This window comes from Homo sapiens, chromosome 7 (genome assembly GCF_000001405.40).
Source record: "Homo sapiens chromosome 7, GRCh38.p14 Primary Assembly".
NCBI lineage: Eukaryota > Metazoa > Chordata > Mammalia > Primates > Hominidae > Homo > Homo sapiens.
The window spans coordinates 122,627,614-122,650,918 of record NC_000007.14 but is presented as its reverse complement, the minus strand read 5'-3'; the positions used below and the strand labels follow the sequence as shown (position 1 = coordinate 122,650,918).

General features: G+C 36.5%; 1 protein-coding gene across 28 annotated transcripts in view; it reads left to right on the top strand.

Annotated features, from left to right (window-relative positions):
• The window catches only part of CADPS2 (calcium dependent secretion activator 2), a 568,050-nt gene that overhangs the window by 235,542 nt on the left and 309,203 nt on the right, over positions 1 to 23,305 (top strand). For all 28 annotated transcript variants that reach the window (NM_001363398.2, NM_001009571.4, XM_047421032.1 and 25 more), the window contains one exon: positions 21,591 to 21,671. In NM_001363398.2, coding sequence (NP_001350327.1) covers positions 21,591 to 21,671 — 81 coding nt within the window. The remainder of the gene's footprint in view (positions 1 to 21,590; positions 21,672 to 23,305) is intronic.

The following is a 23,305-nucleotide window of genomic DNA, read 5'->3' as shown; positions in this document are numbered from 1 at the left end:
CATTGGAGTGGCCATAATATTTATATATGTGTTAAATTTTTGGTAAATAAATGTATCATAATGTAAATTGGATGGATTTAATTTTACTAAAATGAATTTGAGTCTCTGGTAGAATTAAGTTTCCGCTCTCAAAAATTTTTAAATTGTCAGTGTAATTTTAACATATTCCTAACAAATTAAATTATAGGCTTTATTAGTGTTGCTCCATTTGGCTGTGGATTATTTTGTTTCTTACCTTTGGCTTACATGTGGAAGAGTTACATAAGAATATTCTAAAATAAGGTTTCTGCTAAAATGTTTTGTTGAATTTGTCTTTGCTTTCTCCAGCATCTCCCTAGATAATGAATATAGATTACCTTTAGACATTCCTGTATTTATTTTTAGATTTTTCTACTTTATCTAATTCTGCTCCATGGAAATTAGAAAGTTATCCCAACTTTCCACTTTTTAAAAATAAGAGAACACAGCTTTACAAAGAGATCACATCTTTGTGGTAGTAATACTAAAAAGAAAGTGTTTTTGCTGAAGTACTTCAAAGTCTATTCTCAACTACTAATAAATAAGAAAGGATTATATGGGTGTACTGTTTCAAGCATAATAAGCAACTGTATCTTTATTTTTCATGGTTGTTTAATGAAAATATTCTAACAAATTTAAAATTATATATTTGATATATATTTTTTCTTTTATTTATTCAAAAATGTTCATTGGCCGGGCGTAGTAGCTCACACCTGTAATCCCAGCACTTTGGGAGCCTGAGGTGGGTGGATCACTTGAGGTCGGGAGTTCCAGACCAGCCTGGCCAACATGGTGAAACCTGTCTCTACTAAAAATACAAAAAAATTAGCCAGGTGTGGTGGCACGCGCATGTAATCCCAGCTACTCGGGAGGCTGAGGCAGGAGAATTGCTGAACCCAAGAGGCAGAGGTTGCAGTGAGCCGAGATCACACCACTGCACTCCAGCCTGCGCTGGACAAAGTGAGACTCTCTCAAAAAAAAAAAAAAAAAAAAAAAAAAAAATCATTGAATACTTAAGAAAAATGTCAGTTACTAGGTTAAGCAGTGAAAATACATAAATGACAAGATTTGATTCCTTCCCTCAAGGCATTAATATGTGGTCAGTAGACAGATGTATAAAATTGTATAGTTTTATAAATGGTATAGATGTATAAATCATATAGATGTATGAAATGTAATGGTATAGTTGATCAGTGCATTACTGGGAGTATGTATACTGTACAGCAGGAGCACATGGGTGGCAGCATCTTCATTTATATTGGATAGTTGGCATGGATTTCTTTAGTGCTCTCCAACTTTGTATGCACATTAGAATGAATAGAAGAGCTTTAATACTTGGGCCTCACCTCAGACTAAGTGAAATGGTCTGTGGAGGTCAGGCCCAATGCCTCTTTTTTATAATTTTCCCATATAATGCTGGTGCACAGTGAGAATTGAGGACCACTGGCCTGACATCCCATCTGAGGACTTTGTCCTGTGGTCACATCTAATGTAGGGGAAGCTGGGAACAGTCTAGTTGGGTGCCAGGAAATAGAGCTGGTTTGGGAGTGTGGGAACCCAATTCTTTCTTGGACATTTAATTGAAGTTTAATAAAGGTTTTAAGAAAACAGTAATTCTGAGTTTTGGATGATGAACACAAAATTAACCATGAGGGAGAAAACAGCTTTTACAAAGGCATGAGGATCATGAAATGGATTGGAATCTGTTAGGGAGGTATGGTGTGTGTTGCTGGAGTAGCCGAAGAGGCTAAAAAGTTAGGAAATGATTTGAATATTTAGGGCCTTATATACTAGATCAAAGAGCTTGGAATTTACCTTGTGGTAGAGAACACTGTTGGGGTATAAGCAAAGGAATGACTGGAACAAATTGAGGGTCTGGAAAGCTCCTTCTCTGTGATCTGAAGAATGAATTGCAGGTAGCCTCACCCTACTGTGGGCATGGGCCAGTGTTGTTTAAAATGAACAGGAACTACATATTAGCCCTTCAGGTAATCTCTCCAAGCACTACGCATTGTTCTGCTGTAGATCTTTTGCTTGTGGGCCTGGTTTTACCTCTGTGTTGCCTATGAAGTTCTTAGGCTGCTGGACTTCATCTACGAGACTGTTTTTGCATCCTCTTGGGTCTGCACTCTGTATTGTCCTTTGGAATTCCACTGTGCTCCCACACTTGAGAACTATGGCCTGGGTCAAAACACTGAACTACCTACTCTCTAAAGGGACAAGATAAAAGTGTCGGAATTTCTGGCAGGATCTAGGGATTGTCAGTGTTTACCTGCTGGAGCTTTTATATTAAGCATAGTATGATGTGGCTTCTCTGATTAGGGTATTTTTGTTTTAACACAGTGCCCGTTCTACTCGGGCACTTTTCTAGGCTCTTGGTGTATGACGGTTCCTCTTCTTGTGAAGCAACATTATTTTGGCGGGGTGGGCAGAGGGGATCAAGGGTTCTGTTTTGTGTATGCTGAAGTCAAATATTGATTGTCCATGTCGAGATTGCAGGTGATGCCTGGTTATAGAAGTCTGGAATTTTAATCTGTTTAAATTTTAATTTTAACAGATTTGGGAATCATTTAGATAACATTAGTATTTTAAACCATGGGACATCTTCAGAACCCTTTGGGAGGGTCTAGAGCTCAAGGAGAAAAGGAGCCCAGGACAGAGTTCTGTGGACACAAGGATTTAGAGGTTGTACCAAGAGGAAAGAAACAGTGGGGTGGGAGAAGAACTAGAGAGTGAGGCATCAGGGAATCCAAGAGAAGCCATTTCAAGGAGGAGAAAGCTAATCTCTATGCCACCTGCTTACCAAGTCTGGTAAGATGACAACGAAGTAACCTTTGGATTTGTCAAGTTGGAAAACACTATTGACTTTGATAAGGGCAGACTCCTTGGATGGTTGAGAGCAAACCTTATTGAGGTGGGTTTAGAGAAGAACTAACAAGGTAAGGAAATAGTTAAGATGAAAAGCTTCAGAAAATCAGCCAGTAACAAAGAACATTATATATTCAATAAATTCCTTCTATACAGTACATTGAATCATTTATTTTAAAAAATTTATTTGACACTATATGTCAGGCTCATAGCATTAGACTTTGTTTTTAATTGTTTATTTGTTCTGATTAGCACAGCTTCTCATTTTTCATATAAAGCTTTTTTTAAAGCATTTTGAAAAGGCTGTGGCAAAAGTGTTTATGTATACTCACAAAATAGTATCAGTGATATTTAATGCGTTTTATCTGATTAATATCTTCTTGGTTCAAAATATCTTAAATTATCTTTGCTTTAAACTAGAAAAAAGTTAAATGCTTCCATTTTCCCTAATCACCTTAGATGGAGCAGGGCCAACTGATGTTATCTTAGCAGAATATTACTTATGTAATAGATGACAATGATTACTTCTAGCTTTTTGTTACAAACTGGCAGAAAGACTTCTATTATTACTATTAAATGTCTAAAACTACTTCATTGCCTACGTGCAAAGTATTTTCATGATTCTGATATATGATGAACAAGGCTTAAATCTCAGTCTATGAACAATGGTCAAAAGTTTGTGTACTCTCTGTATACATGGTCAGATATGAAGAGCAATAGGATTTGAAAAATATAGATAGGTTCACTACCTTGTAGAGTTTGAGAATTTAGAACATATTGGGATTTTGCTCTTAGTTAGATCCACTGGAAAAAAAAACTGTAGTAAAAAAGAACAAGTTCACTGCGCTTACTGTGAATACCACTGCCCCCTGCTATCCACCTTTTTTAGGTAGATCAATTCCTCGTTTCGCACTGTGTCACTTAAACCCATGGTAAACTGATGGATATGAAACTTCTGAAATTCAGTAGATTTAAATGTCACTTTCTTTTTCATCCAATACCTAGTTCTTCTATTAATGTCATATTCACCTTTCTGACTCATAATCACAAGCCCTTCCTTTTTTATTGCCTTTCCAACTGAATTACTCCATACTGCTGTTTCCTCTATAATACTACATTATCTGCTACTCTTGTCTTATTTCATAGCAATTGCCATAGCTGGAGACTTCATTATCTCACATAGGGAGCATGACAGTAATCTCTTACCTACTTTCTCCTTCTAATCCTACATACTTTTGTTTTTAGATAAACATCATTGAAGCACCTTCCTGATCTCATCATGACTGAACTTTGAATATAGGGAAAAAAATGAAATTTATACTCCTTGGTTAAGCTTTCAGCAGTTGTGGTGTTCAGTGTGGCCCCATCTGCATTTCAACTGTTCCTTCTCATGTAACGATTCTTTATAGTCTGTGTTCTAGATAAAGTGAATTACTCGCTGTTCCTAGTTCACACCATGTATTTTCTTGGATTTTAATTTTACCTCACGTTATTCTCTTCATTTGGAATTCCTACTTCTCCATTCTTCATGACCCATGAAAAATTCCACCTCCTTCAGAAAGCCTTCCTGCCCCTGTGTCTGTTCACTTTTGTTATACTGGGGGAGAGAAAAAATGTATGAAGAGCTTACAGTTTCCCCATTATAACCCAAAAGCCTGTCATATTGTACTTTGCATTGATGTTTACATATGCCTCTTTGACGGCATTTTAACAACTTAAACATCAAATAAATATTAATGCTTGTACTGTTGTACCATATGTACAGTAATGTTACTTGTGTTTCCTATTGTTGGGCACTTACATATAGTAAATGAAAGAATGAAAGATGAGGACGAGACATGGCTCTGAGGTTCAAATGAGATAATGTTTATAAAAATTTAGGACAGTTTTTGGTATGCAAGTGCTGTATAAATTGAACTCTTATTATGTTGAAACTCGAGTTCAAATCTGCTCTGGGAAAGTTTTGGAAAAGTGATAGTGTCTTTGTTACTTTACTTAATGATAAACTCCTTTAATCTCAGCATTATTCACTATTAATGTGAATACAGATTCAACTATTTTATTGAGATAAGTATAGTTAGTAAATAATTATTTTAAAATAATAGCTCATTCCTTTTTTCCAGAAGATGAAATGTTAATACCAAATGAAATACTAAAGAATATTTCATTACATGCAAAAATTTGCCACATTATTGCTGTTGTTTTATATATATACATATATATATCTTCATGTTTATATATATCTCATATATATAGCAGGGGGCAGTGATATTCACAGTAAGCACAGTGAACTTGTTCTTTATTACCGCAGTTTTTTTCCAGTGGATCTAACTAAGAGCAAAATCCCAAGATATATATATATATATATATATATCTTAGAGATATATGTATCTTAGAGTAGAGATATATGTATCTTAGTGTGTGTGTATATATATATATAATCTCTATAGCCTAGAGAATATGCATATATATTCTCTAAGTATATATATAAGTATATATATATACTTATATATATATAAGTATATATATACTTATATATATATACGCTAAATATATATACATATATACACATATATACATATGTGTGTGTATATATACATATATACACACATATACATGTGTGTATATGTACATATATACACACACATGTACATATGTGTGTATACATGTACATGTATACACACACATGTACATGTGTGTATATATGTACATGTATACACACATGTACATATGTGTATATATGTACATATGTGTGTATATATGTACATGTATACACACATGTACATGTGTGTATATATATACTTAGCGTATATATATACTTATGTATATACATATATGTGTATATATATACTTAATATATATGCATATTCTCTAGGTTATAGAAGTCCCACGGTTTTTATGTATGAGGTTAAACTTCTTATGTTCTTGCCTTTGAACATTTTGATCCATTATTTAATATAGTTTAGTTCAGTTCACATAGGGTAATTTTATATCTAATTAACTCATTCATCTTTTCCCTGTTCTAAGTTTTCAAAGGAAAATGTGATTTGGGAAATGCATTTTTAAGACCCTTATAACTGTTCTACAAGAATCCATGAAAAACTGCTATTTGTGAGTCAGATTTTTTAATGCATAATTTAGAAGGTAGCTATAAGAGAGTTCTTTAAAAGCTTTGTATCTGGCAGACAGAATGGTACCTGATTCTTTCATACATAACTTCACACAGGGAATGTGTTGCTCTTGAGAGTTTGGGAATGACTTCATTTCCTTATGTTCTTTTTGTTGTATGAAATTACAAAAAGAACATTAGTTACCTTATAGTTGTTAGCTAATTCTCAATGATTAAGAAAAAGGACCAGTTTTTATTTTTGTTTTTGAGGGGGCTGCCTCTTGGAAAATGGGTCAACACAGAGGGGATATTGGAGTCCAAGAACCTTTCAAATACAGGTGGAATTACTCTGTTTTGGAATAAAATTAACGCAAGTCGTTCACCATTAGAAGTGAATTTGTGTTATTTCTATCATTAGGGTAAGGTGAAATATATAAAGCTCATAAATACCTGAAAAGTTGCACAGTAAGACAACTATGAAGGCTGTGTCATCAGATAGTACCTGCTTTGTTGTTAAGTAATTGGTTTGTCATCTTCCAAGAAGATTTGGAGATTGACCTGGACAATGAAGGTAGTGAAAAAAAGGATCCCAGGCAAGAGAAATACATGATTCAGAAAATGTAACATGTTTGGTAAATAATGGATAAATCTGTATGTGTAGATAATGCAATTATCCAAGAGGCTAGAAAGGTAGATTGCTATAGAATGTGGGAAGTCCCGAATGTTAGGCTAAAGTGTTTGAAGTGTTTGATGTTTGGTGGTCATTCTCTCTTATTCATAGTCTTATATTCTTTTCCTTCGTTTGTTCCTTCCTTCCTTCCTTCCTTCATTCCTTCCTTCCTTTCTTTTCTTTCGAGACAGAGTCTACCTCTGTTGCCCAGGCTGGAGTGCAGTGGCGCCATCTTGGCTCACTGCAATCTCCGCCTCATGCCTCAGCCTCTGGAGTACATGGGATTACAGGCATGAGCTACCACACCTGGTTAATTTTTCATTTTTAGTAGAGAGGGGTTTTGCCATGTTGCCCAAGCTGGTCTCCAACTCCTGGCCTCAAGCAATCTACCCACCTCGGCCTCCTAAAATGCTGGGATTATAGGCATAAGCTACCGTGCCAAGTCCATGGTTTTATATTCTTCTTCACTTGCTTCCTCCCCTCACTCTTTTCATCTCCCCTTCCCTCCTTCCTCATCCCTCTCCCTCTTCCCCTCCTTTTTCTCCCTCTCCTTCTCCCTCCTTTCTCTTCCCTCTGCCCCCTCAGAAATTTTCACCTAATCAAGGGTAATGAGAATCATATGCAGAAATAGGGGAACCATATTGAGGAATGGGTGATAAAATCAGTTCAGTTTTAGTTTGAGGTCATTGTGAGATGCTTGAAAGCAAAGACCTGGCCTTCAGTTGGAAGTGCAAAGCTGAAACTCAAAGCGAGAGGCCCAGCTGTGTTCTGATGTATGACATTGCATTGAGAAATTACTGCAGACACTCTGAAGCCTAGAACAGCTGAGGACAGAGCTCATGTGTTTGTGGGCTGAGAGAGTAGGGAGCCAGCAAAGAAAACAGCAGAAATGATCACAGTCAGTTGGGTAGAGCTATGCTCTATCTTTATTGTAAATAATTTTTGATTCAAGTGATGGTGGAGGATTGACACTTATTGATAAGGTACATTAATTTGCTAATACTTAATAAAACTTTTGACCATTGTTTTGAGGCCGTGTTGCAAAATCTATGCATATTTGGCATTTCCAAATGAAACACTGGGCTGCTAGATATGGTAAGCAAGAAAGTGTTAGGAAGAGTATTCTTTTGGAATCAGCATTAGGTTTGTGCTGATTATTTATTGTAATGTATTATCTACAAATCACTAGATTTACAGATAATATAAATACAGTGAACCAGCTAGGAATTAATCTCAGGGAAGACACCAAATTTGCATAACATCATAAACCCTAATCTACTTATATTTTCACAATAAAGGATAAAGATAAATATTATAAGAAAACAAAAGAGTGCAATTCACTCAAAAAGAGTATGACATAATTGGTGTGGGGACTAAGTGAAAGAACTAATTGATTTTTTTTCAGTAGGAGAAGGAAGAGTGCAGTTAACTAGGATTAACATATACAAAGACATGATTATGGAAAAACAGTTATTAATCCCCCTTTTTAGTGATTGACAATGTTAACATAAGGACATTTATCTTGGTTCTAGAGAACAGATATATTAGAGAGGGCAATGATGCTAAACAGTACTGTGAAAAGCATTTTTAAAAGATCTTTTTTCTTTAAGATATAAGTAAATTTAATGAATTCAAGTTTTTGATGTTCATAGTTTTTAAAGTACTAGAAGAGCAATATAATAAGTTGTAAAAAAAAAAAAAAAAAGCTGTTGGGTGAAACTTAGTAGTTATTTTATGCTACGTTTAACATTTTCTTAATTGTAGGATAGTTGGCTGCCAGCACAGGCTTCCAGTTCTCCCTAGGACTTCTGCAAAGGGAGATTTGCTGATCTCGAAGACCTTCCTATTTCCCAGAGCTGCTCCCATGCAACAGGAGAGTGACTGGGCAAGGAGAGCCTAGGGTTTGATATTTGTAAGGCAAGACTAATAGACTGTTACATTAGGTCATTAATTTCTCCTTTTTTTTTTTTTTTTGAGATGGAGTCTCACTGTGCCTTCCAGGCTGGAGTGCAGTAATGCGATGAAGGCTCACTGCAACCTCTGCCTCCTGGGTTCAAGTGATTCTCCTGCCTCAGTCTCTGGAGTAGCTGGGATTACAGGCGCCTACCACCATGCCTGGCTAATTTTTGTATTTTTACTAGAGATGAGGTTTCACCATGTTGGCCAGGCTGGTCTCGAACTCCTGACCTCAAGTGATCCACCTGCCTCAGCTTCCCAAAGTGCTGGGATTACAGGTTTGAGCCACCACGGCCGGCCTCAATTTCTCCATTTTTAATATTTCTATCTTTGCAAATCCATCCTGATGCTATCATTCCAGAAAAACATTTTTCTCCTAATTGAGTACCCATAATGATATCTGTTTTACTTACTATTTTTACTTTTTTTTTTTTTAACGTAACATATGAACTCCTGGAGAGCCACAACTTTTGTAGTTACTGAAAATCCTGCAACAGGGTATGCTGTACTGTAGGTATAGAAAACATGTATATGGAATTAATAAAATCATGGACCATTCAGGTTAACATTATTAAGACCCTGTGTTTTAGTGTTCCTTTACAAAGAATTTAGAAAATCTCTGTAAGTGTAAGTCTGAAGATGTGTAGGACTGAGGTGACTGTTTTCCCTGGTTGATGTATCAAAAGTCATATGGCCTTTCCTAGAATGAAATAATAGAGGCTTTCATACAGAAGATTCATGGTTCTTTATCTCTTTTCAATTAATCACCCTTTTGAGAACCTCAAGTAAGCTATGAAATTCAAATAATTCCCCAAGGGAAAAAAATATGCATCTCTACAAAATTTTGCTCACAACTTCAAAAGTTTTACAGACTTCCAAAGGTCCAATTCAAGAATTCCCTAACCGAGAGAATTCTGAATGTGGAAACAGTAATCCCTGTGTAATGAACAGGAGGAAAATAAAAGCATATTTTCTGAACTAAATATTTGTCAAGTATTTTGATAATTGAAGTGACAAAATTATCTGTATAATAGAAACTAGAAGCATTGCAGATAATAAAGATACACATTAGGTATCTGTTATGATCAAGGATTAACGGCCCTTTTAAAAAGACCTGTAAAATGTTATCTGCCAGGAAAGGACATCTGTGAGCAAAGTAATCTATTGTTAAATAAAATGTTGAAATCAGAAGTTAAAAGTAAAAAAAAAATGACATTAAAAGGTGAAATTGCCTTGGTAGAGTGAAGCCTTACCTCTGATCTCTATTACAATCCCCAGAGTTCACATATTCTTATTTTATGTATCTCATAGCCTAAATCCGGCACTAGGATCTAGTGGGTCAACAATTTTTTTTTTTTTTTTTTGAGATAGAGTCTTGCTATGTCACCCAGGCTGGAGTGCAGTGGCGTGATCTCGGCTCACTGCAAACTCCACCTCCCGGGTTCACGCCATTCTTCTGCCTCAGCCTCCAGAGTAGCTGGGACTACAGGCGCCCGCCGCCAAGTCCGGCTAATTTTTTGTATTTTTTTTAGTAGAGACGTGGTTTCACCATGTTAGCCAGGATGGTCTTGATCTCCTGACCTTGTGATCCGCCTGCCTCGGCCTCCCAAAGTGCTGGGATTAGAGGCGTGAGCCACCGCGCCCAGCCAACAATATTTTTTTTTATTTTTATTTTTTATTTTTTAGGGAACAGCATGGAAACATTTTAAATTGTAATGCCCTAGACCTAAATTTTGTCCATTCAGGCTTTTATTTATTTCTTCTCCCCTTCCCTTCTTTTTTTTTCTCTCTCTCTCTCTCTATCTCTGTGTGTGTGTGTGTGTGTGTATATGTGTGTGCACACACAACCACTTATTTAAGTTCTGATGGTTCAGTAAAGAAAGATAATTATTTTCACTGTGACAGAGTTTCCAACCATACTGGCAAATTGAAATAGTGCTTTGAAGTGGCTAGAGAAACACTGTAATGTACACACACACCCAAAGAAAGAGAGGGGGTGCAGAAGAGGGAAAGGGAGAGAAAGACCTGGCCACAGACTCATAATACCTGAAAATCCCTGCATACTGGTCTGCCTAGGTCTCAACTATGTGGTTCTAGGTTTCGCTCTACATGACTCTAGGTGGATTGGATGTGGACTGTGAGGGAGAGAGAAGTCGAAGATGACATGTAGGTTTTGGGCCTGAGCAACTGGTAGAGAGGCATGCCATTTATCACACGGCATTACTCATGAATGATCGGGGTACGGAGCTGAAAATTGAGATTCTATTCTGGGCTTGTTAATTTCAATGTGCCTTGTCTTCACATAAGCTGAAACTCGAGTAGGCAATGGGAAATTTAAGTCTGGAACTCCTGCAAGAGTTTCGTGCTATAGATACACACTTGGAAGATCAGAGACTAGATGCTGCTTATGATCATAGGCTTTGAGGAGAGCATCCAGGCAGTGAATATTTAGATTGAGAAGAGGTCAGAGGCTGCAGACCTAAAATCTCCAATGTTTATGAGCGCTCAAGGGACCACATCTCCAGTTTCCTAATGACAATTAAAAGAAAATCATATTTGGCTTAGTATAATTTATTTTGAAGTATTTTGTAAAATGGGGCACATCATTATTAAAACTAACCAACTGGGGACTGGCTAGAGGGAGGTGGATGTGGGTATAAAAGGGCATCATGAGGGTTCATTGTGATGTTAGAGCTATGGAGTGTCTTTATGGTGGTTATTCATGGACCTATGTAAGTAATAAATTGTGGAGAGCTAAACACACACACAAAGGAGCACACATAAAACTGAGGAAATGTGAATTAGATGGGTGATTACGTAGCCAAAGTCAGGATCCTGGTTGTGATAGAATACTATAGTTTTATAAGGTGCTATCATTAGGGAAAACTGGGAAGAGCATATAATGGATGTTTTTCTACTTTTTATAATTATTTGTGAATCAAAATTGTCTCAGTTGAATTCTGCCTTTAGGAAAATGCTCATAAGAATTATATAAACTTCCAATTAAATAAATTATGTCGAAAATAAATTTAAAAAACTCAAAACTCAAAACATGCAACATTAAACTAAGATTCTTACATGTAAAAAAGAACGTTAACCAACTAATTTATCCCCTTCAATTCTAACATTACATAAAATGAGGATTACTGGTTGAATTTTTATCCATTGCCTTCATTAGCTTTTTCCTTTTTTGGTAAACATGTTGCTTGGAAGTATGCTTTTCCAGTTTCACAAAATGACACCAGTGGCCACAGAAGTTAGTACCCTTTGGCCTCTGAAAATTTCGCTTTATGAAGAGAAGGCTACTAAAAGACATGTAGGACTTAGGGTTCAAGGTGGCAGACTAGAGGAGCTAGTGTGTACTGCTCTCGTGGAGAGGAAATAGTGACGAGTAAACATGGACTCTCTAAGTGGATCATCTAAGAAACCACGTCAGGATTCAGGATGCATCAAGGGAGTAATGGGACATGGAGAACAGAGAAAATCGAAGCTGGGCAGCTGCCTGCCTGGGACCAGCATGAAGACAGGAGAAGCTCCTCAACACAGGGATAGAATTAGTGAGTAAGAGTCCTCAGGGGATCCATACTTCCCACAGTGACCTGTGCAATCCTGAGAATGTGAAAAACCCCATGACTCCCTTGGGCCTCTAGACTGATACAGAGAGCTACCCAGAGTTTTTGCAGAGGCAACACTCAAGTCCGTGGGGACCCCCCCAGGCCCTGGACTCTGGAACAGCCTGGTTGAGGTGCCATGGCCCTGACAGAAGCTGCAGTCATGGTGCTGGAGATGGACAGATTGCTCTACTCCCTCTTGACAGAAAACCTGCTAAACCCCTGTGGTTTAGGAGAGCTTTGTGTTCCCCCAGGAAGCACTTCGATGGTGAATTGGGTGACTCCACTCATCCTGCTCCTAACTGGGCAGGATTCAACTTCACCCTGCTCCTAACTTGGGCAGAGCCCCAAGCAGGGGGTGGGGAGGACGCCCTCCCTCTCAGAATACTGAAAAGGGTGAGATCCCTGGGCTCTCAGGATGTTGGGGGAGCAGGGCATGTCTCCCTCTGAAGGGCTTTCCAGAAAGGGTATAGTCTTGTCTACCAGCCACAGTCTCTGCCTTAGGGAGCTCTATAGCCCAGAACACCTAAGAAAGAAAATGTGGACGTGGTGCCAGTGATCAGAAGGGGCTCCTCCAAGGCCTAGGAGCAAACCTGGTGAGGTTGTCAGCTCTCTCTCCCCTGACCACAGAGTACTACTGTGCGTATGCCAAAATACAACAGAGCTACATGGCTGAGTTAGAGGCTATCTGCCAGCCACCACTCTTAAGGAGCACCTACTGGATTACAGCCCAAATGAAACATCAAAAACATTATGCCAGCATACAGCACCTGTGAAACCTAAGGCAAAAATCCAGACATAAATAAAGATTATGTACAGAGCCTTGGCTCTCTGCAAGCACCCAGAAATGGAGCCAACTGACTATACTCAACTTATGTCACAGTTAAAGGAACATCAGCCCTCACACATGAAAAAGAATCAGTGCAAGAAACGCTGGCAATTCAAAAAGGCAGAGTGTCTCTTTATGCCGAAACAAACACATTAACCCATCAGCAGTAGTTCTTAACCAGATTGTAATGACTACTGGACAGACAGAGAATTCAGAATCTGGGTAGCAACAAAGCTCATCAAGATCCAGGAAAAAGTTGAAACCCAATCCAAGGTATTCAAGGAATTCCGTAAAACAGCCCAAGAGCTAAAAGACAAAATAGCTATTTTAAAGAAGAAATCAACTGAACTTCTGGAATTGAAGAATTTACTTCAAGAATTTCATAATAGTCCAGGCACAGTGGCTCATGCTTGTAATCCCAGCACTTTGGGAGGCCAAGGCAAGAGGATCACTTAAGCCCATGAGTTTGAGGTCAGCCTCCTGTTCTCTACAAGAAATTAGCCAGGTATGGTGGTGCACATTTGTAGTCCCAACTACTTGGGAGGCTGAGGTAAGAGGATCACTTGAGTCAGGGAGGTCGAGGCTGCAGTGAGCTGTGATCATGCCACTGCTCTCTAGCCTGGGCCACAGAGTGAGACCCTGTCTCAGGAAAAAAAAAAAAAAAAAAAAAAAAAAAAAAAAAAAAAGCAAAATTTCATAATGCAGTCAGAAGCATTACAGCAGAATAGTCCAAACTGAGGAAGGAATTTCAGAGCTTAAAGACAAGTTCTTCAAGTCAGCTTTGTCAGACAAAAAGAAAAAAATAAATAAACAATTTAAAAAAATAAAACCCTTGAGAAATATGAGTTTATATGAAGACACCAAATCTACAACTCATTGGCATTCCTGACAGAGGAAAGAGAGTAAGCAACTTGGAAAACATTAGAGGATATAGTCCATGAAAATTTCACCAATCTCACTAGAGAGTTGGACGTACAAATTTAAGAAATACAGAGAATTCTGGCAAGATAGTATACAAGATGACCAACCCCAAGGCACATAGCCATCAGATTCACCAAGTTCAACAACAACAAAAAAATCTTAAAAAGGCAGACCGAGTTTGGTGGCTTACACCTGTAATCCCATGCACTTTGGGATACCGAGGCAGGCGGATCACATCAGGTCAGGAGTTCGAGACCAGTCTGGTCAACATGGTGAAACCTTGTCTTTACTAAAAATACAAAAATTAGCTTGGCATGGTGATGTGCACCTGTAATCCCAGCTACTTGGGAAGCTGAGGCAGGAGAATTGCTTGAACCTGGGACGCGGAGATTGCAGTGAGCCAAGATTGCACCATTGCACTCCAGCCTGGGCAACAGAGTGAGACTCCATCTCAAAAAAAAAAAAAAAAAAAAACATCTCTTGTGGAAACCTTACGAGCCGGAAGAGGATGGGGGCCTGTTTTCAGCTTTTTTAAAGAAAAGAAATTCCAACCATGAAATTCATATCCTGCCAAACTAAGCTTCCTAAGTGAAGGAGAAATAAAATACTTCTCAGATAAGCAAGTACTAAAGGAATTCATTAACACTAGACTACCCTTACAAGAGGTCCTTAAAAGAGTGCTAAACATGGAGATGAAACACCAAAACCTGCTACCACAAAAACATACTTAGGCACACAGCCCACAGACAACATAAGACATTTACACAGTCAAGTCTACAAAAACAACCAGCTAACGAAATAACAGGATCAAAATCTCACATATCAATACTATCCATGAATGTAAATGGTCTCAAAACCCCACTTAAATGGCATAGAGTGGCAGGCTAGATAAAAAAGACAAGAACCAACTGTCTGTTGTCTTCAAGAGAGGCATCTCACGTGTAATGACACCACAGGCTCAAAGAGGTAGAGAAAGATCTATCATGCAAATGGAAAACAAAAAAAAATGTGGGAGCTGCTATTCTCATATCAGATAGAATAGATTTGAAACCAATAACAATCAGGAAGGACAAAGAAGGGCATTACATAATGAAAAGTGGTTCAATTCAACAGGAAGACTTAACTATCCTAAATATATACACATCCAACACTGGAGCACAAAGATTCATAAAATGGGTTCTTCTTGACCTGTGAAAAAATTTAGCCACACCACTATTCACAGTAGCAAAGACTTGGAACCAATCCAAATGCCCAACAATGATAGACTGGATTAAGAAAATGTGGCACATATACACCATGGAATACTATGCAGCCATAAAAAATGATGAGTTCATGTCCTTTGTAAGGACATAGATGAAAATGGAAATCATCATTCTCAGTAAACTATCGCAAGAACAAAAAACCAAACACCACATATTCTCACTCATAGGTGGGAATTGAACAATGAGAACACGTGGACACAGGAAGGGGAACATCACACTCTGGGGACTGTTGTGGGGTCTGGGGAGGGGGGAGGGATAGCTTTAGGAGATATACCTAATGCTAAATGACGAGTTAATGGGTGCAGCACACCAGCATGGCACATGTATACATAGTAACTAACCTGCACATTGTGCACATGTACCCTAAAACTTAAAGTATAATAATAATAATTAAAAAAAAAAATTAGCCACACATTAATAGTCAGAGACTTCAGCACCCCACTGACAGCATTAGATCATCCAGGCAGAAAACTATCAAATTCCAGAATTAAACTCAACACTTAACCAATTGGACCTAATAGACATCTACAGAATACTCTATCTAACAATCACAGAATATACATTCTTCTCATCTGCACACAGAACATATTCTAAGATTGACACATGCTTGGTGATAACACAAGTCTCAATAAATTCAAAATATTGAAATACTACCAAGCATCCTTTTGGACGACAGGGCAATAAAAGTAGAAATCAATACCAAGAAGATCTCTCAGACCTATATAAACATGGAAATTAAACAATTTTCTCCTGAATAAATCCTGGGTGAGCAATGAAATTAAGACAGAAATCAAAAACTTCCTTAAAATTAAGGAAAATAGAGACAGAACTTACCAAAATCTTTGGGATGCCGCTAAAGCAGTGTTAAAAGGAAAGTTTACAGTGCTAAACACCTTCATCAAGGAGTTAGGAAGATCTCAAATTAACGATCTAACAATATACCTAGAGGAACTAGGAAAACATCCAACCCCAAAGCTAGCAGAAGAAATAACTAAAATCAGCAAAGAACTGAATGAAATTGACATGTAAAAGTTCATACAAAAAATTAATGAAACTAAGAGTTGCTTTTTGAAAACATAAACAGGATTGATAGACTGCTAGCTAGATTAACAAAGAAGGATACGTACAAGTGTAACCAGAAATGACAAAGATGGATTTACAGAATATCTCAAAGAAATATAAAAAAAGATCCTCAGAGATTATTTTGAAAACCTCTGTATATGCTACATAGAAAATCTGGAGGAAATGGATAAATTACTGGGAGCACACAACCTCCCAAGATTGAACCAGGCAGGAAGTGAAAACCTGAACAGACCAGTAACAAATGCTGAAATTGAATCAGTAATTTAAAAATTACTAACCAAAAAGAGCCCTGAAATAGCAGCTTCTTAGCTCAGCATTTATAGCTGAATTCTACCAGATGTACAAAGAAGAACCGGTACCAATCCTCCTGAAACTATTTTTAAAAATCTTCCCTAACTCATCCTACAAAGCCAGCATTATCCTGATACCAAAATCTGGAAGAGACACAATGAAATAAGAAATCAATATCCCTAATGAATATAGTCACAAACTCCTCAATACAATACTACCAAACAAAATCCAGCTGCATAGCAAACAGTTAATTCACAGCAATCAAGCAGTATTCCTGGGATGCAAGGTTGGCTCAACATAAGCAAATAAATAAAGATAATTCACCACATAAACAGAACCAAAATTAAAAACCATGTAATCTCAATAGATGCAGAAAAAGCCTTCAATAAAGTCCAATTTTCCTTTATGATAAAAACCTTCAACAGGCTAGGTATTGAAGAAACATATAAAAATAAGAGCCATCTATGACAAACTCACAGCCAATATCATACTGGATGGAGAAGAGCTGGAACTATTCCCCTTGAGAACTGGAACATGACAAGAATGTCCACTCGCACCACTCCTGTTCAACGTAGTACTAGAAGCCCAGCCAGAGAAATCAGGCAATAGAAATAAATAAAATGCATCCATGTAGGAAAAGAGGAAGTCAAATTAGCTTTCTTTGTTAATGATATTCTATATGTAGAAAACCCCTAAAGACTCTGCCAAAAAGCTTCTCGAACTGATAAATGACTTCAGTAAAGTTTCACAGCACAAAATCAAAGTACAAAAATCAATAGAACTTCTATACATCAGTAAAATTCTAGCTGAGAGCCAAATCAAGAACACAATCCCATTTACAATAGATACACACACCAAACAAAAAACCCAGGAATACATCTAACCAATGAGGTGAAAGATCTCTACAGGCAGAACTACACAACACTGCTTAGAAAATGACAAAGATGACATAAATAAATGGAAAAATATTCCATATTCATGGAATGGAAAAATCAGTATCATTAAACGGATCATACTGCCCAAAGCAATTTACAGAATCAGTGCTATCCCTATCAAAATAGCAACATGATTTTTCACAGAATTAGAAAAATCTATTCTAAAATTCACATGGAACCTAAAAGCCCAAATAGGCAAAACTATCCTAAGCAAAAAGAACAAAGCCAGAAACATCACACTACCCAAATTCAAAGTATACTATAAGGCTAAAGTAACCAAAACAGCATCGTACTAGTACAAACACAGACACATAGACAAATGGAGCAGCATAGAGAACTCAGAAGTAAACCTGCACACCTACAACTATCTGATCTTTGATAAAATCAACAAAAATAAACAATGGGGAAAGCACTCCCTCTTCAATAAATGGTGCTGGAATAACTGGCTAGCCATATGCAGAAGAATGAAACTAGACCCCTACCTTTCATCATATACGAAAATTAACTCAGGGTGGATTAACGACTTAAATGTAAGACTTCAAAGTTTAAAAATTCTAAAAGAAATACTAGGAAATACCCTTCTCGACCTTAGCTTTGGCAAATAACTTATGGCTAAGTCCACAAAAGCAATTACAGTGAAAACAAAAATTGACAAGTGGGACCTAATTAATCTAAAGAGATTCTGCACAGCGAAAGAAATTACCAACAGAGTCAACCAACAGCCTACAGAATGGGAGAAAATATTTGCAAACTATGCATCTGACAAAGATCTAATATACAGATATCTACAAGGAACTTAAATCAAGCAAAATCAATCCAACTCAAAAATGGGCAAAGGACATGATCAGACACTTCTCAAAAGATGTACAAGTGGCCAAAAAACATGAGCAAATGCTCAACATCACTAATCATCAGAGAAATGCAAATCAAAGCCACAATGAGATAGATACCATCTCACAGCAGTCAGAATGGCTATTATCAAAAAGTCAAAAAAACAACAGATGTTGGTGAGGCTGCAGAGAAAAGCAAATGTTTGTATTCTGTGGGTGGTAATCCAAATTACTTTAGCCACTATAGAAAGTAGTTTAAAGATTTCTCAAAGAAGTTAAAACAGAACTACTGTTACACCTAGAAATCCTACTACTGGGTATGTACCCAAAGAAAAATAATTCATTTGATCAAAAGGACACTTGCACCCATATGGTCATTGACACACTAATGACAATAGCAAAGACCTGGTATTAACATAGGTGCCCATTAATGGTGGGTTGGATAAAGAAAATATTTTATATATACATACACACATATATACCATGGATTATTACACAACCCTAAAAAAGAATGAAATCATATTCTTTGCAGCAATGTCGATGCAGCTGGAAGCCATTATCCTAAGCAAATTAGCACCTTAACATAAAACCAAATATCACACATTCTCACTTATAAATGAAAGCTAAACATTGAATATACATAGATATAAAGATGGGAATAGTACACTGGGGAATGATTGACCAAGGGAAATGTGGGCTGAAAAACTACCTATTGGATACTATGCTCACCACCTGGGTGATGGGACCATCCATATCCCCAACCTCAACCTCAACAACATGTAATATACCCATGAAACCATCCTACACTGTACCCCCTCCAAATCTGAAATTAAAAAAAAAAGAAAAGACAATGTAGTGTCCCAGTGCTCTACATTGTTTTTGGTTTTGTTTTGTTTTGTTGCTTACTTTTTTTTCAGACAAATGTGATCAAGTCATTAATTATTTTTTAAAAAAACAGACCAGGTGCGGTGGCTTATGCCTGTAATTCCAGCACTTAGGAAGGCAGAGGCGGGAAGATCACTTGAGCCCAGGAGTTCAAGACAAGCCTGGGCAACATAGCGAGAACTCCATCTCCACAAAAAGAAAAAATATGTAGTTGTAAATTGTCTCTTACAAACAAAACTACCAAAATTTAGAAATAACTCAAACAATTTCACTTACACTTAAGTAAGAGCTGTTAATCTGGAGATATAGATACAAAAATATGTTAGTGTTTCTAGTGAAGTTTGAAAAACTGTGGCCTTTTAAGATATTAAATGCTATTTTTTGTTGAAGCTGTGAGAAAAATATAATTTCTTTATATGCAAGTAACTTTTTATGTCTTTTGAAGAAATATGTATCAGCATTTAAGCAAAGATCATAATATATTTCATATTACATTTAGTGCATTTGAAGTATTGTTACAGTTTCAGTGTTCTTATGGTTTAGTTTTTAGGAGCTTGGAATGAGAGATTTCAGTTAACCTGGAACCCGTACTTACTGCATATTATTTTTCTTCATAATTACGTTAGTTTTTAATTTTAATCATTTTGATTTTAGACACAGTGAAGAGAAACTTGTTTCTGTTTGATTTTGAATCATATTAATCAATTAAAATTGTTTGTTAGTTTTATGAGATGACATAGAAACTCCTATATAACAAGGATTTACTTTAAGAAAATCTTGCCTGTTTTTTTAACTTATTTTAAAATGAATTTGGTTTTTTAAAAATCAACTTGGAAACATATTTTAGACAGGTAATCTCAGGCCTTTTGTATAGTTTTTCTCCCAAGAGAAAATTAACATGAATATCCTCAATTTAACATTTTGTGTATATCTTTAAAGAAAACAAAATAAGACTTCCGTCTTTCTGACCTATTGTTTGTACTAGAGACAGAGTGATCTTTCCTTTCCAAAGCTTACATCTGATCATATCACTCCTACACTTTAAACCTCTCAAGGAAGTCCCATTGTTGTAGGAACTAACTCCAAATTCCCTAATGTGGCTTGTGAAGAGTAACTTATGAAGTTGCCCTGCTTCTCTCTCCAGTCCTGTCCCTCACCCTGCCTCTTCTGGTATCCCATTCCAAAAGAACCACTGTGTGTGTCTAGTTTTACCTCCTCACCTCCAGACTTTTGGTGTTCTTTTATAGGAACATCTTCCTCTTTTTTTTTTTTTGACTCTTCATATAAATTGCCTTACCACCACTATCCTGTTAATCTGGTTTGCTTCTACTCATCTTTTTGAGGACTCTCTTTGAGGATGTTTTTAAAAATGTAACCTGGTCAATTTGTAGTTCTTTGGGAAAGTGACAAGTAAACTGTTTTCTCATTGGTGTTTAATGTTATACTCAATCGAATCTTTAGATGGTCCTTTACTAAAGTGTATTGTGCAGTCCAGGCTTCTTCGTGATGAGAGTGCAAAAGGAGAAAAAACTAAAGTCAAGAGAAAATTAACACTTAACATCCTCACTTTAACATTTTTATAAAGGGACTAATATTGAGTGAATGGGTGAAAAGGTATCATGAGTAAAGTTAAAATAAGTTATAGAAAAAGTTAAGGATTAGTTCATGAAGTGAAAATAATTTTCCATGTAAATGGGAGATTTCTAAAAAAAATGATGAGAGCACACTTTTCTTGTTTTCAGTCAAATTTAGAACAGGAGAATGGATTTCTAATATGGTGCCAATCCTTAAAAGAATGGAAGGATTTCTTGGCAGTATTAGTCTACTGGTATTAGAATGAGGAGTATATGAAGACTTAAGTGGTAGAAAGTTGTATCAGTCAATCAAAGAGTACTTTTATAGTTTAGCACTAATACAAACTTATTATTAAAGCAAAGGGAGTTTTTTTAAAGTACAAAGAAAGAAGTGAAACATTAGCATCTCACCCTCCAGAAATACATGGTGAGAACTTGAAAGAACAAAACAAGAGCTTCATCTTTCTGGAACTATTTAGGACTGACTTAATGATCAAGAAATCTAATTTCTTGATTTGGTGGTTTTGTGAGTAAAACCACAATGAGAAAGTACCCAAGAAATTTATCTGGTCTGCCAATCTAATTGAACAACCTCCTGTATTCTCTTTGTAATAGATATCTGATACAATCTATTAAACATTTTTCAGTCATTTAATCTTTGCCTTAGTCTGTGGGACTGCCTCAGTCTGTGGGTCACTGTATATAGATTAAGTAATTACATATGTGTAACTTCTGTTTTATTTTTAAGCTGGATAACGCAGATGAACAAGCAGCCCAGATCAGAAGGGAACTTGATGGCCGGCTGCAATTGGCAGATAAAATGGCAAAGGTAAATTATTAACTTGGACATACTGTATGACATTCCTTTCTTTACCTAGATTTCTGTGAGCTGAAAAAGTGTTTTGTATAGGTTAAAAAAAAAAGAGCCAGCATAATTTTAACATTTTCTCCTCTACACATAGACCTCTTAATCCCAAATATCTGAAAGCATGTTATCTAAATGAAGCATATTATTCATTTTACGTACTCATCCTTAATATGTGAACTGTTTAATTTTAATGATAACTTTTATAGACTTCTCTTAAAGCAATGCATGAGTTTCTCAAACTGCCAGATCTAGAAGAGTTTTAATGTTTTACTAAGCAAAATATAACCAGGGAGAAAAAACTCCTCCCCGCAAAATCATATAATACATTCCTAAGTATACAGTAAAGTTATTGGCACATAGTGGTTCTGACTAACATTTAATTGAATGACTAAATGCATGAAAAAATATTATTTTAAGTATCTAGTATGCAATCTGGCAGATGAAGTGTGCTTGATACAAGAAATTCATCATATTGTACTTATTTTATTTGTGTGATCACTGTGTATCGTGAATAGAGATAAATTTCAGACAAAAGGCATGAGTTTTTTCTAGTACTTAAGGTTTTTAGAGAGAATGGAACCCAATTGTCTAAATCATTCTTTAGTGAATTTATTAACTTACTTCAATGATATGAAAATTTTAGTTCTTTTCAATGGACTTGCAGTTATAGTGCTGTTGATTGCTCTGAACATAAGATTCTCTCCCTTTCCTTTCTGCTTAGCAAAAACTTCCAATATTTGATGGATAGTCTCCCTCTCTATTTCTCTCTCTCGTAACATGTATACAATAAACTGCACACATCTTCATTTTACAGTTTAATGAATGTTTACGCATACATCCTGTGTAGCCACCTCCCAGATCAAGATAATGAACTCTTCCAGCATTCAAGAAGTTATATCCCATACTAATTTTAACAATTATTTTTTTACTTCTGCAAAGAAAATGTGTATTTGTAAATATTAATACATAATGTTTTTAAAATGCTAACACTGTTTAAGTGTTTATTAAAAAGTAGAGGGAAAGTTGAGAAATTAGAAATAAATAATAAAATAGAGAAAAATGTAGATAATTGGGTAACAAGAATGACAGTAAGTTGTAAGAACCAAGCAGGAATTAGATCATGAGGAAGAATCTCTAGATGAATGAAGATACAGTGTGCTATAAATTAGGGGCCAAAGAGTTACATTTGCACAGAGGGCAGTGATTGAAAGGATAGCATGCCTTATTTTTGTCCTCTGGGTTTCTAGAAAGGTGGTATTTCATTCTAGAGATTTGAATGTGGATTTTGTAGAGTAGAAAGCAAGCAACTTGAGGCTATTGAAACCTTTAGAAAGAAAAATATTTTAATGCCAAGTCCTATCCTGTATTGAGCCTGGCTGGAAAAGAAATTGCTTTTCTGAGACCTAAAGCTAATAAAGAACCTGGAGAGATGTGCCTGACAGCAGCAGGAGGGACAGTGGATCTGTGTTCAGCATTTGAAAATTACCTACTTGTATATAGATTGTACCTGAGACTGGGCACATTGTCATATGTAATGCTTTAGAATAAAGTTTAAGTGATTTTCTAGAGAGTTATGGGACTGGAAGAAGAGACTC